The 16,007-nt window shown below is 40.7% G+C and overlaps 1 long non-coding RNA gene across 1 annotated transcript; it reads right to left on the bottom strand.

The window, feature by feature from the left end:
* Nucleotides 1-11,421: 11,421 nt before the first annotated feature.
* On the bottom strand, nt 11,422-13,250 carry LOC105376989 (uncharacterized). The gene is made up of 2 exons (XR_936891.1): nt 13,174-13,250; nt 11,422-12,213 (listed from the first exon to the last, which is right to left on the bottom strand). It is a non-coding gene; the product is annotated as an uncharacterized LOC105376989 (long non-coding RNA).
* Nucleotides 13,251-16,007: the final 2,757 nt, after the last annotated feature.

Here is a 16,007-nt window from a genome sequence, read left to right as displayed (position 1 = left end):
GGGAGGTGATTGGATCATGGGGGTAAATTTTTCATGAATGGTTTAGCATCATCACCCTTGGAACTGTCCTCACAATAGTGAGTGAGCTCTTGTGAGATCTGGTCATTTAAAACTGCAGCACCTCCCCGTTCTGTCTCTTGCTCCTGCTCTGGCCACGTGACATGTCTGCTTCCCCTTCCGCTTCCACCACGATTGGAAACTTCCTGAGTCCTCCTGAGAACCTGAGCAGATGTCAGCATCATGCTTCCTGTACAGCCTGCCTAACCATGAGTCAATTAAACCTCTTTTCTTTATAAATTACCCAGTCTCAGGTATTTCTTTATAGCAATGGGAGCACTGACTAACATAAAAACCCAGAAATTTTCTCTTCATTTATTTCTTTTATGATGCTCTTCCTTTCTTTATGTGGATTCAGTTTTCCGATCTGTATCATTTTCCTTCTGCCTGAAGAACTTTTAACATTTCTTCCAGGGCAGGTCTGTTGAAGATAAAGTCTTTCAATTTTTATTTGTTGATAAAGCTTATTTCTCTTTGCTTTTGAAAGATAATTTCACTGGGTATAGAATTTTAGAATTCCACCCCCCAACACTTTAAATATTTTATTCCACTCTTTTCTGGCTTGCATGGTTTCTGAAGTGAAGTCTACTGTAATACATATATTTGTTCCTTCATAGGTGAGATGCTTTCTCCCTCTATGGCTTTTTTGAGATTTCTCTCTGTTTCTCATTTTCTGCCGTTTGAATATGATATGCCTGTGTGTGTGTGTATTTGTGTGTGCATGTGTGTGCGTATTTTGGTATTTATTCCAATTGTTGTTTTCAGCGCTTCCTCTATGTGTGGTTTGGTGTCTATCATTAATTTTGTGGAGTTCTCAGCCATAATTCAATTATTTCTTCTGCTCCTTTTTCTCTTTCTTTTCCTTTTGGTATCCAATTACAAATATGTTACACCTTTTGTAATTGTACCACAGTATTTACTCTGTTTTCTACTTTTTTTTTTCTTCAATTTTCTTTTGTCTTTGCATTTCAGGTTGGGAAGTTTCTTTGACCTATCTTCAAGCTTGCTGATTTTTTTCTTTGTCTGTGTTCAGTTTACTGATGAGCTTGTCAAAGGCTTTCTTCATTTCTGGTGCTGTGTTTTTAATTTCCATTTGATTCTTGCATGTTGTCTTCTTTTTTTGAGAATAAGGGGTTAACACATTAGTTACAGTTATTCAACATTTTTTATCTGATAATTCCAACATCGGTGTCATATCTGAGTCTGGTTCTGATACTCGCTTTGACTCTTCAGACCATGCTTTTCTTGGTATTAGGAGCTGACGTGAATAGGCCTTTACTGTGTGGATTTGTCATAATATGGATAAGAATCTGACTGTTTTGTGTTTAATGTTTGCTGTAACTGTAGATACCAGAGGCTTCAAATTTGTCCTTGTTTTCTTCTCTCCTCTTAAGCTTATACTCCTCAGAGAGAGTCCTTGTTTTGGAGCTCTTTTAGCTGTAACACACTATCATTACACTGGAGTCCTGTTGGCATGGTAGTAAGTAATAGGGGAGGGGGAAACTTCTAAAATCTACCAGTTAAATCCCAGTCCTGTAGTGCACCTGTCTCCTGGGCTGTGACCTTCACAAGTGTTTCTCCATAGTTTTATTCACTCAGCCCCTACTCTCTTCCCTGAATGCAGCGTTCCCAGTCCATATTCTTGCAGCCATGACCCTTCATAACTATGTTTTACCCCTCTTAGGTGAGGCAGGAGGATTGGAGGGGCTGGAGTGGGAGAATGCCCTTTTACCAGCCGGGATAAAGCTCTGGGAATGTATTTATCCTGGAGAGGAGTCCCCGCTCCCCCACTTTTTATCCCTATGTGCTCAGTTAGGATTTTATTTATTTATCTTTCCATCTTTACTGAGGTATAATTAACAAATAAGAATTGTATATATTTAGGGTGCACAATGTATGTTAATTAGCTTGACTGGGGCAATAATTTCAAAATGTGGGCCTTTGTTTTGAGGAAGGCTCTGGATTTATTGCACAAAGATTACAGTTCTTCTCCTGCCAGAGTCATCTAGGGATCTTACTTAGATCTTCATGAAAACCTGGTGGGGTTTCTGGAGGTAAAGTCCATGGAATCGTGGGGTTCCCCTAGGATAGCAGCTCCCAATCTAGACCCTACTTAGCCTTCAGCAATTCATCAAAATTACCATCTAAGTATTCCTGTCAGTTATAGTCCCAGTGGCTTTTTTTTTCCTCTTTGGATTTTGGGGCTACAGTTTGCCTTGCAACTTCACTTCTTTGATGGGTCCAAGAAAAGTCATTGATTTTCAGTTCATCTACATTTTTCTTGTTGTGAGGATGGGAGTGACAGCTTCCCAACTCTTTACTTGCGGTAGCTGAAACTAGAAGTTAACACACTGACAATGCACACTTAAACAAAGACACAGTCTGATTTTGTTTTGTCCTCCACCCTGAATAGACCTCATTGTTAGGACTTCCTAGATGCCCCTAAAAACTTGATAAATGCTGACTAGATTGAAAGAAGCTTGTCTCACAAATTTAATCTCATATTCTGAGCCCTAGGCTCAACCAGGCTCAAACATTGCCAATGTTTGGGAGGTGAGAGGGAGTCAGCATTGAACCAACTTTCCCTTGGTAACAGGGGCCCAGAGAAAAAAACTCAGCGAGAAATACAGCAAAATAGGTTGATTTGCATCAAAATTAGACCTTCTTAAATCTGCCCAGCCCTTCAGCTGCAGAGTGAGTATGAATTTCTACCCTCTAAACTAAGAGCTAGTTTATTGTTAAATGGGTCGACTTGGACGCACACAGCAGAACACCATGAGTGCAGAGAATGAAGAGAACTCTTTGTGTTAACATCTGTGCGGTGGCGAATGATTCATCAGTCAGCTACATGCTGGCCTCCTCCACACTCCCGGAAATCATTCATGAAGTTCTCTGAACTAGTCTTAAAGGCCCCACACTACGACGTCTCAGGGTCATGATATACCCTAGATGTACCCCTTCCCCTCAGCCAGCCACAAAATGGGCCTGACCTTATCCCACTTCCCATTGTTATGTGCACATCTGGATTTTAGGCTGTTGTAAGAGTGAACACCCAGGCCTGACTCTTTTCAAAGAGCAAATTGGCAGAGGTCTCATCCTGAGGCCTCTCTTGAGTGAGGAACTACTTACCAGTCACATGAAAGCACAAATCAGGGCTTGTGCCGAGCTGAACTTCCCGGCTAAATAAAATGGATCGATGGTGCCATGTTGACCTGGTATGTTAGATGATGAGAAACGCTTTCAATTATTCTGCGAGTGGCTGTTACGAGGATGAGAAATCATCTGTGTTCAAAGTTGGCTTTAATTTCTCTAAACGAGATAATTTACCAAAGAACTTTTGCCTATATGAAGACTGTTACCTGAGCAAGACATATGGGTAATTGGGCATTTGATGTTGGTTTGGTGTCACTTTTATGCATATTGATGATCATGTGACTGTAAAGACCTTGTTTTACTTTAATTGGAATTCCTGCATGGGAGGGGCTATGGTGAGCTCTGGCTGGTAGCAGAGTTCTCTTAGAAGGGCCAGTGTGGATAAAGAAATATCTTTGGCATTTTTCCTTTTGTGTTTTAGTGAAGACACTTCTGGTTGTAAGGAATAAAAACAAATTTGTGATGTATTTAGCAAAAAAAAAAAACCAAAAAAAAAAAAAAAAAAAACAAAAGCTTGAGGAGTTTTACTTTTTTTTTAAATGAGGCTATAGTAATGTCTTCAGCGAGTTAAATGTTGGAATGCAGTCACAGCTCAGAACCAGAGCTAGGAGGTGGACTGCCATCAGGAACCCTGGTAGTTACTCTGTCCCCATGCCCTGATTTCTCTGCATGCCCATCTCATTCCTTTATCTCTCCCAGCTAGCTTTCATGCCTTCTTTACAAACATGTCACAGGATGGCTGTCCCTGAAGTTTGCAAGTTTACATCACCTTATTTTGAGTCACACTCAGCAATATGACTGGTTATGTCTGAATGCCAGTTCCAAACTCTTGAGACAATCTGATTTGAAAAGGTGCCCAGTCTGATAGAAGAAGGTGCCCTGTGGGTGGCTACTTGTCAGAGAAAAGGGACATCTCGAAAGACTGCCTATAATACGCTTAACATCTAGCATTGTCCCCATTTTATAGATGAGAAAACTGAGAAAAATGAGAAAAGTTGCTCAAGGCCACATAGCTGCACCTACCTTTTCTTCCTGAATGACGATTATCATGAGAAAATAATTTTATTTTGGATGAAAATTGGTGATATTCATGTTGCAGCTATTTTTGAAGGAGGGGAGTTATCTTTTGTTAAACGAGATGCATTGTTTAGCAAAAATCATTTTACTTTGTAATTTTGTTGAAAGGCAACGCTCTTTCTGAAAATAAAATGAGAGTAAATGAGAGTAAAATTTTAGTAGCGAAGAGAAGGATTCCTAAAATAATCCAGGACAGTTATGCAATTGCAAAATTCTCCGATATTTCCGCATTCAAGAAAAATTAAATGCAGGAAATGAATAAGAAGGGGATAAAAATTCTTTGCAAAAGTCAAAGCCACCCCATTGGCCAAAAGTTGGAGGCATCCTAAGACTTTTTAGAAGCAACAATCTACTTTGCAAACCAAAACATGAGGTAAACATGGGAATTGAGCCATTAGAGAGAAAGCGAAAGAGAGAAAAATCAACTTCTGATCTGACTTTTCTTATTCTCCAGTTTTCTCATTAGATTTTTTTTTTCCTCCCAGAAGAGCAGTGTTGGGAGTTTCAAAAATAAAATCAAGTCAAATTCAGAAAAATAATTATATCAGATCAAATTTTTAAAAATTTAAAGTATATTATGTTTACAAAGGAACAGTTGGCCGATCTTGAACCAGGAAACTTCAAATGAAGACAGTAAGAAGCTCACCTTATAGCAGTTACAGCATAGCTTATAAAGCATCAAGAAGTATTTTGGCCTTTTTTATGGTTGGCTGTTATGCATTAATGTTCTTGTTAAGGCAAGCAGAGTTGTTTAAGCTGATTTATCTATAGCTGTTTGGCTTAATTTCACTGAATCATATTGACAAGAATGTAAAGCTTACATGTTGTGTTTCATTGTGATTTGAGATAGCATCTCAGGGAAATCAGGATAACTAAGTTTTGCTTACGTGGTACGTGGCTATGGGTGGTTGGCCTTGGGGTATCTCTCAACTTTGGCTTCTATGGTAATTTCTTTTTTTTTTTTTCTTTTTTCTTTTTTCTAGTTTCTTTTTTTTAAATTAATTAATTTATTATTATTATACTTTAAGTTTTAGGGTACATGTGCACAATGTGCAGGTTAGTTACATGTGTATACATGTGCCATGCTGGTGAGCTGCACCCACTAACTCGTCATCCAGCATTAGGTATATCTCCCAGTGCTATCCCTCCCCCCTCCCCCCACCCCACAACAGTCCCCAGAGTGTGATGTTCCCCTTCCTATGTCCATGTGTTCTCATTGTTCAATTCCCACCTATGAGTGAGAATATGCAGTGTTTGGTTTTTTGTTCTTGCGATAGTTTACTGAGAATGATGATTTCCAATTTCATCCATGTCCCTACAAAGGACATGAACTCATCATTTTTTATGGCTGCATAGTATTCCATGGTGTATATGTGCCACATTTTCTTAATCCAGTCTATCATTGTTGGACATTTGGGTTGGTTCCAAGTCTTTGCTATTGTGAATAATGCCGCAATAAACATACGTGTGCATGTGTCTTTATAGCAGCATGATTTATAGTCCTTTGGGTATATACCCAGTAATGGGATGGCTGGGTCAAATGGTATTTCTAGTTCTAGATCCCTGAGGAATGGCCACACTGACTTCCACAATGGTTGAACTAGTTTACAGTCCCACCAACAGTGTAAAAGTGTTCCTATTTCTCCACATCCTCTCCAGCACCTGTTGTTTCCTGACTTTTTAATGATTGCCATTCTAACTGGTGTGAGATGGTATCTCATTGTGGTTTTGATTTGCATTTCTCTGATGGCCAGTGATGGTGAGCATTTTTTCATGTGTTTTTTGGCTGCATAAATGTCTTCTTTTGAGAAGTGTCTGTCCATGTCCTTCGTCCACTTTTTGATGGGGTTGTTTATTTTTTTCTTGTAAATTTGTTTGAGTTCATTGTAGATTCTGGATATTAGCCCTTTGTCAGATGAGTAGGTTGTGAAAATTTTCTCCCATTTTGTAGGTTGCCTGTTCACTCTGATGCTAGTTTCTTTTGCTGTGCAGAAGCTCTTTAGTTTAATTAGATCCCATTTGTCAATTTTGGCTTTTGTTGCCATTGCTTTTGGTGTTTTAGACATGAAGTCCTTGCCCACGCCTATGTCCTGAATGGTAATGCCTAGGTTTTCTTCTAGGGTTTTTATGGTTTTAGGTCTAACGTTTAAGTCTTTAATCCATCTTGAATTGATTTTTGCATAAGGTGTAAGGAAGGGATCCAGTTTCAGCTTTCTACAGATGGCTAGCCAGTTTTCCCAGCACCGTTTATTAAATAGGGAATCGTTTCCCCATTGCTTGTTTTTCTCAGGTTTGTCAAAGATCAGATAGTTGTAGATATGCGGCATTATTTCTGAGGGCTCTGTTCTGTTCCATTGATCTATATCTCTGTTTTGGTACCAGTACCATGCTGTTTTGGTTACTGTAGGCTTGTAGTATAGTTTGAAGTCAGGTAGTGTGATGCCTCCAGCTTTGTTCTTTTGGCTTAGGATTGACTTGGCGATGCGGGCTCTTTTTTGGTTCCATATGAACTTTAAAGTAGTTTTTTCCAATTGTGTGAAGAAAGTCATTGGTAGCTTGATGGGGATGGCATTGAATCTGTAAATTACCTTGGGCAGTGTGGCCATTTTCATGATATTGATTCTTCCTACCCATGAGCAGGGAATGTTCTTCCATTTGTTTGTATCCTCTTTTATTTCCTTGAGCAGTGGTTTGTAGTTCTCCTTGAAGAGGTCCTTCACATCCCTTGTAAGTTAGAAAAGAGAGAAGAATCAAATAGATGCAATAAAAAATGATAAAGGGGATATCACCACCGATCCTACAGAAATACAAACTACCATCACAGAATACTACAAACACCTCTATGCAAATAAACTAGAAAATCTAGAAGAAATGGATAAATTTCTGGACACATACACTCTCCAAAGACTAAACCAGGAAGAAGTTGAATCTCTGAATAGACCAATAACAGGATCTGAAATTGTGGCAATAATCAATAGCTTACCAACCAAAAAGAGTCCAGGACCCAGTGGATTCACACCGAATTCTACCAGAGGTACAAGGAGGAACTGGTACCATTCCTTCTGAAACTATTCCAATCAATAGAAAAAGAGGGAATCCTCCCTAACTCATTTTATGAGGCCAGCATCAATCTGATACCAAAGCCGGGCAGAGACACAACCAAAAAAGAGAATTTTAGACCAATATCTTTGATGAACATTGATGCAAAAATCCTCAATAAAGTACTGGCAAACCGAATCCAACAGCACATCCAAAAGCTTATCCACCATGATCAAGTGGGCTTCATCCCTGGGATGCAAGTCTGGTTCAATATGCGCAAATCAATAAATGTAATCCAGCATATAAACAGAACCAAAGACAAAAACCACATGATTATCTCAATAGATGCAGAAAAGGCCTTTGACAAAATTCAACAACCCTTCATGCTAAAAACTCTCAATAAATTAGGTATTGATGGGACTTATTTCAAAATAATAAGAGCTATCTATGACAAACCCACAGCCAATATCATACTGAATTGGCAAAAACTGAAAGCATTCCCTTTGAAAACTGGCACAAGACAGGGATGCCCTCTCTCACCACTCCTATTCAACACAGTGTTGGAAGTTCTGGCCAGGGCAATTAGGCAGGAGAAGGAAATAAAGATATTCAATTAGGAAAAGAGGAAGTCAAATTATCCCTGTTTGCAGACGACATGATTGTATATCTAGAAAACCCCATTGTCTCAGCCCAAAATCTCCTTAAGCTGATAAGCAACTTCAGCAAAGTCTCAGGATACAAAATCAATGTACAAAAATCACAAGCATTCTTATACACCAACAACAGAAAACAGAGAGCCAAATCATGAGTGAACTCCCATTCGCAATTGCTTCAAAGAGAATAAAATACCTAGGAATCCAACTTCTATGGTAATTTCAAGACAGCCTGAGACCGGGAGGGTTTAAATGGCTTCATTTGTGTTTTCATTCCTACCAAAAGAATGCCTGAACAACATTCACACGTTGCCATCTGCCTGGATTCCTCTCCGTGGTCCCGCAGTCCCTGCCCCCTAGCGTCTCCATGGTCTCGTGCTTCCTGGTCCTTCTCGTCTTCATGGTCAGGTGCTACCTAGTCCACCTCGTCTCCGTGTTCCCTGGTCCATCTTGTCTCCATGGTCTTGTGCTCCCTGCTCCGTTTCATCTCAGTGGCCTTGTGCTCCCTGCTCTGTCTCATCTCAATGGCCCTGTGCTCCCTGGTCCATCTCGTCTCCGTGGTCCCGTGCTCCTTGGTCCGTCTTGTCTCCATGATCCCGTGCTCCCTGCCCCGTCTCATCTCAATGGTCCTGTGCTCCCTGGTCCACCTCATCCCAATAGTCCTGTGCTCTCTGGTTGATTGGGTTCTACAATGGAGAGGTCACTCGTGATCTTCTGGCCCATTCTTTGTAGGCCGTACCAGGTTACCCTTCCAGAAAATGGCAAAGGGTGACTTATATGACTTTTCCTGGGGCAGATGGGACTACGGAAAAATCCATCAAAACAATGGCTTATTTGCTGATAGCTCATGAGCTGTCAATAACAAAGGGTGTGCAGGAGCTTGGCCAGTGCTGGGTTTGTGCTTCAGGACTCCTCTATTTCCAAGCCACTGCTGCCCCTCAGGCTGTCCTCCTGGCCTGGACACCACCCTCCTGGCTGTGCCTGGCTAAGGGGAAGAGTTACAAAATAGACTAGAATGTACATATCCCTTGAATATACAGTCTCCCTTGATGCGACTGGGAGCACCTACTTTCCCACAGCGTGTTGCTGTCCCTGTAGTCCTGCTATGGACCTGGTTTCAGAGCAAATGAGATGAAACACTGGTCATGATGGAATTGGATCAGACCGACCTATATGGGGGTCAACAACACAAAGCAGAGACTAAAGAAAGGCAATTTTTAAAAATTGTTGTTCCTAGCAAAATAGTATTGGTAATCTTTATTCAGATGATGGTAATATTAATTCATTCATCAAATATTGAGCATTTACTGTGTGCTAGAATCTCTTTGGGAATGTTTGTAGAAATGCCAGATCCTAGTCATTGTGTGAACTCTGAAAGTTTATTTTAACAAAAATGAAAGTTTTAGTGAATCTTTCCAAATCAGATGAAAATATTGCTTTCAAAGTTTAAATAATTTGGTTCTTTCTCCCTTTCCCTTCCATGGTTCACTATGCTCGGAATCTACAAGCTCTAAGAAATATGAGAAAAGAATTTGACTTTGGTTAGGATTTGCATTTTTAAGTCGTTAGGAGCTACCCAGCTTATTTCTTTTTTAGTATTGATTAAAATAAAGACAGGAAAGACATCTCCATCACAGCACGTTGTAGTTTGCTTTTGTCTCACTTTAATCCTTTGCTCTTGAACACATTTTTATTACCTAAGTTATTGTTCTGTGCTCGTTTTTCATAAATTAGAACTACCCTAAGGATTTTGTTTCTAATGAATACGTTACTGACAGCACATTTTGCTTAGCACCCTGTTTCAATCTGCCATACAATGCAAAGCCTACTTAAAATAACCTTTTTTGGGGGGCATGAAGATTAGAGCTTTGAAGTCAATTAAAAATATGCAATGTGTAAATACAGAAGAAAGAGCAATCTACTAACTTAACAAGGACCCCAGAACATTTTCATATAAGCACTGTAGATTTCAGTTATCCATGTACTGAAAATGGACCAAAAAAAATCTTAAAAAAAGGTTTAAAATTAGCACTTTGTGCCGTTTGTGGTGGCTCACGCCTGTAATCCCAGCGCTTTTGGAAGCTGAGGCGGGCAGAACACCTGAGGCCAGGAGTTCGAGACAAGCCTGGACAACATGGTAAAAACCCCATCACCACTAAATATACAAAAATTAGCCAGGAATCGTGGTGCACGCCTGTAATCCCAGCTACTCAGGAGGGTGAGGCAGAAGAATCACTTGAATCCAGGAGGCAGATGTTGCAGTGAGCTGAGATCATGCCACTGTACTCCAGGCTGGGCAACAGAGTGAGACTCCGTCTCAAAAAAAATTATTAGCACTTTCTGTGTATTTATTAAGCGATTAAGAAAGCTTACTTTCATCAATAACTAAAAATGCCAATGAGACTTCCATTTTACAAAAATAGACAAGTTTCTCTTTGGTCAATTTGTGGAGACATATGTATATAAAAGAGTTGAGAGAAAATGATCTCACAACAGCTGATATATGCAGACAGAATGACTGCAGTTTATATTGCTTAAGGTTAATGATGTTTGTCTAGTAGTCACTTTTTTCTTATGAGAAGAGAAAACCTTTACATGTTGGTGCCAGGGATTTCTGGTTTTATTTTGATATTTTCCCTTATGTATTCCTCAAACAAATACCTACTTTACTTTTGTTGTTTGAGATTCCTCATATGAGTAATTATTTAGATCAACCTCCTGTCTTGATTGACCTAGGCAAGACCTTTGGAAATGCTCTTCCCACTATTTAATGCTTCTGGTATAACTTAAAACTTGAAGGAAAATATTTTCTGAGTTATTGGGGAAAGCACAATTAGAAACCTATCGGCAACAGAGAGAGACTCCGTCTCAAAAAAAAAAAAAAAAAAACCTACAAATCTCCATGAATTGTAGAAATTGGCCAGTTATGCTTCTTTAAACATCAGCCTCCAGATCTCAGTGGCTTAACTCAATAGAAGTGGTTCTTTTTTTCTCATGCAGACCTCACATCCCATTGCAGGTTGCCAGAGGACTCTGCTCCATAGAGTCTCTCAAGGTCTTAGGCTGATGGCTTTGCTGTCATTTTTAGCTGTAGCTGCACCATCTGGAATACATGGCATCCCCTGTTGCTACAGAGAGGAGGAGAATTGAACCTGGGCTTTTTGCTCTCTCAGCCAGAAGTGACACACATCACTTCTGCCCACATGTCACTGGCTATGACTGGTTAATGGCTAGTTGCTAGTAGGCTGGGAAATGTGGAGGAGGAAATGGGAAGAAAATAAAACATAAGAGAATTTGCTTTGGATCCGAATCCTAGATAGAATTATAAATTCTGATATGCAGACAGCTTACATACAATTCATCATCATATTCTTAGGCCATTGTGGTATCATTTTCAAGCATTCAAGGCTGATGATAAAGATCCAAACATAGACCCTGGAGCTTGAAATGTCCAATCTCCAGCCTTTATTTAATGCTAAAGAATAACAATAAAAAAGGCTCCTGTCTTGCTGACCTTCCTAGAGACGTGGCTCTACTAGTTGGACTTATACCTAGGAATAGGAAAAGTCCAAGGGTAAAACTGGTTACTTGCTTCAAGCTATTTCAGCAGTAACTAGTGTCTTTCAGCATTCTGGCTTTCCTTGGTGTGTTGGCTTCATTCCGATGGTCCCTATAGTGGCATGAGAGCTCCAGTGACTCCAGCTTTCTATTCAAGTTCAGCAGGAAAGAGCAAGTGTCTTTTCCAGTAATTTTTGAAGAAGTCCTAAGATTCATTCTTGCTGGGCTGACTTAGCTTATGTGCCCACTCCTGAACCACTGGCCAGGGATATTCTGATTGGCTCTGGCCAGGGTCACATGCTCCATGCTTGGGTCCACTAAGTGTAAGGACAGGGTCCTAGAGCCTCACTGTTGTCAGAAGAGGGGGATTTTCAAGTTAGGGAGGAACACAAGAAATGTCACTGCACACATACTTCCCAGACCTTCTTTCCTGAAGAAAGTTCCGGGCCCATATGCTCTAGGAATAAACCTACACACTCTGAGACCTGCCCCATAGCCAATCTGCCCTGTCATTCAATTCAAGCAATTGACATGTATTTAGGACACCCATTGATGTCCTTTATGAGCCAGACACTGCTCCAGTATCTTAGAACGCAGACATGAGTTAGTCTTAGGCTCTGCCCTCACACAGTTTATAATCCAATTGTGAGTAAGTAGAAGATGACTTCATGGTGTTCTGAAAGACAGGAGAGGGTGAGAATTGGTTGTCATGGGAACTCTCTGATACATACTCACGTCTGTTTGAGTGTTTTTTCAAGGTTAGAGATTAAATAAGAGGGAGAAGTGCTCCCTTCTGTTGCCTCCTGTTTTCACCTAGGAAGTCAGACCAAAATGATCCGTATATTACTGGATCAAAGAGACCTAAAAGCAAGTAACCCTATTTCCTCCTGAAACTGGCTTTTCTTACAGATGGTTTGTGATAATTAAAAGCCACAAAAACCACCTGATTGATAATCTGAGCCATTTAGCTGGATCTAGGCAGAGTCCAGGTAGATACATTATATATTTAGGTGGGTACAGTATGTTCTATTAGTCAAATATATGTTACACAAATAGCTTTTAAATAAAGCCAAGGTGCATAATGGTATTGACTTCAGTTTTTGTTCATTCTAAGCAAAGATTACTTATCACAAAATATATGAAAATTCTCTGATTCTCACTCATATTAGCTGTGGTAGAGAATTCTTGGCTCAGGTGTATCTTGGGCATATGGGAAAATTAAACTTCCCAGCCTGCCTTGCAGTTTGGCAGGATCATGTGATGAATCCTAGCCAAAGAAATGAGAGTGGAAGTGATACATATTTCACTTCCATTCTGAGACGTTTAAGAGTAATTGTGACACATCCATAAGAAACGAGCCCAAATTTCCAACAAGCTGGATGCCCATAGGACAGAAGCTTGAGAAACTTACATTTGTACACTGAGATGCACCTGCTGCATGTCAACCACATCCTCTTTCTCACCCCTCCCTAATTCCTTCTTCCTTCACATGGCTACAAAGAGATGCCAGACCCCTCATTTGACCACCTGCTGCCTGTTGACCAACTCCACTTCCTTCCCCCTCCTGTTTTCCTTCTCTGCTATATAAACCCCTAACTTTAGTCAAGGGAGAGAGAAGGGTTTGAAGTTTTCCTACCATCTCTTTGGCTGATGTCACCCATAATAAAGCCTTTTTCCCTGGCATTACTCATTGTCTCAGTGATTGGCTTTCTGTGTGGGAAGCAATGGGACATAGGCTGAATGCCTGGCCTTTGTTAACACATAATCACTCTATCCCGGAGGTCATATGTTGAGATGGTAAAGTCACAAGGTGGAGGGATCCTAGGTCCCTGAGTCACTACGTGGAGAAGAGTTTCACAATAGAGTTCCAGACCTGTGTTGGAATACATTTGAGAGAGAAATCAACTTATGTTATGTTAAGCTGCTGGGATTTTGAGTGTTTATTTGTTATTGTGGCATTGCCTAATTTAGCTTGACAGTATACTTTCACTTCTTGAAGGTTGTGAGAATCTCCTCTTTGTCTTCTTTTTGGACATCCTCCTCAAATATTTCCAGAAAGAATCTGGACAGCTCAGATATAAGTTTTGGTTATACAGAAGCAGTTTAGAACAGCAGTTGGCAAACCATGGTGCATGGCCCAAATTTGGCTCACTACCTGTACTTGTAAATAAAGCTCCATTCATCTATGTATTACCTATGGCTGTTTTTGCTTCACCGTGGCAGAGTTGAGTCATTGAAATAGAGACTTCATGGCCCCCAAAGTCCAAATATTCACCATGTGACACTTTACAGAAAAAGTTTAACATCTCCTGGTTTTGAACAAAATTTTTAGAGTGAGACAGACCTGGGTTTGAATCTCTGGGCAAGTTACTCAATGTCTCTGAGTTCTAGTTTCTTCCCACGGTTATTAGAAGGATTACATGAGCTAGTATCTGTAGTAACTTTCACCCCATGCCTAACTCACAATAAGCACTTAATACATGGCTACTAAAATTATTGTTAGCATTACCCCTGATGTTGGACATTTAGGCCATTTCTAGTTTTTCACAGGATGCTATGATTAAGTCACTCATTTCTTATGCTGCATTCATAAAGGTGGAATTCCTAGGTTGAAAGGCAAATACATGTAAAGGATTTTGTTACAAATTGGTAAATTAACCTCCGGAAAGTTAGTAACAATAGGATCTCTCTTCTCCCAGACAACACTAGGTATCACCATGGTCATAGGTAATGGACTTGCAATTGCAACTTTACTGACTCCTACTCATTCATTAGGTAGAACGAGGCTCGCCAGGGTTCTATGGCATCCTGCTGACCCAGGTCTTCTTCCAGAATACTCTCCGCAACCCCCACTCTCATCTTCCTAGGAGACCACCAGGACTAGGTCTGCCACCTATCACATCCCTGGTTTTGTCAGTCACCACAAGAAGCCAAAAGCTCCCAAGAGCTACCATCTGGCTCTCATCCTCATATAAACCCATATACCTGCTTTTCTGACCCCATCCTGATTCCCATCTGCACTGTGCCCTCTGGAGCTTAGAGTCCATCAACATCTTCTTCTTGAAGTATTGCAAGAGCTGCTTAACTAGTGATCCTGCTTCTATCTGTTCCCCAACTGTCAATTTCTCAACTCAGCAGCTAGAGAGATTTTGTAAAAATGTGAATCAGGTCAGGCCATTCCTCTTCAAATCCTTCATCTTTCCATTTCATGTGGAAGAACATCCAAAGCTGTTGCCAAGGCGGGATAAAGTTCTAAGCTCACTTTCTGATCTCTCCTACCGTACTAGCCCAGCCTCCTTGCTTCTTCTTGAACAAGACAAATACATTCCCACCCCAGGGCCTTGGTGCTTGCTGTGGGCTCTGCCTGGCATCCTCTCTCTCTAGCCATCTGCACATCTGACCTTTTTACTTCCTCAGGTCTTTGATATAATGTCATTTAATCAGAGATACCTTCTCTGACCATCCTATAAAAGTGACAACCTCATCAAACTAGCACTTTCTATCATTCTCACCTTACTTAATTATTCCTATAGTATTCATCACCTTCTGGCAGAATGCATATTAATGTGATTATTCGTTTATTGTTAGCCTCTTCCCACTTGAATAGAAGGCCCAGGAAAGCAGAGACTCTTTGATTCACACTGAGTCTCTACCATCCAGTGCTTGCATGTAGTGAATGTTTACTAGATGACCAAATAAATCTACAAAATAATACATAGCTCCTTTATTTAGTGTAATCAAGCTAATCTTCCTAATAAGTGCCAGCTACTGGTATTGTTGTCTTCCTGATCTGCAGAGCCTCTATTTTTTTTTTTTTTGAGACAGAGTCTCACTCTGTCACCCAGGCTGGAGTACAGTGGCATGATCTCGACTCACTGCAACCTCTGCCTCCCGGGTTCAAGTGATTCTCCTGCCTCAGCCTCCTGAGTAGCTGGGATTACAGGCACCCACCACCATGCCTGTAGTGTAAATAATTTTTGTATTTTTAGTAGAGATGGGGTTTCACCCTGTTGGCCAGGCTGGTCTCAAACTCCTGACCTCAAGTGATCTGCCCACCTCAGCCTCCCTAAGTCCTGGGATTACAGGCGTCAGCCACTGCATCCAGCCCACAGCCTCTTTTGGATCAATGCCCAGTGTTCTGATTTTCAACTCCTCCCTTCAGCACAAGTGGCTTTTTTGGCACTTGGTCAATGAGTGGGAGGGATGGGTAGGATTACATAACCCAGCTGAGACTGGGTCATGGAGCCTCAAGTCCACAGATGCTGGGACATTTACTGGCCTCTTCTACTGAAGTCTGCAGCTGATGGACTCATGGTCAGCTTCCTTACCTAGTTAAGTTTAGACTTGGTGGTTTTCTCTTGCTGAGTCAGCCATGCTCTGGTTTTCTCTGACACTGACCTTGGTTATGTTTTCAATCCAGCTCCTTGCCTGAGTCATCTATGCCTTGATCTCCATGTTGAGGTAGCTTGG

This window comes from Homo sapiens, chromosome 20 (assembly GCF_000001405.40).
Source record: "Homo sapiens chromosome 20, GRCh38.p14 Primary Assembly".
In the NCBI taxonomy this organism is placed as follows: Eukaryota; Metazoa; Chordata; class Mammalia; order Primates; family Hominidae; genus Homo; species Homo sapiens.
This window is presented reverse-complemented; position numbering and strand designations above follow the sequence as displayed.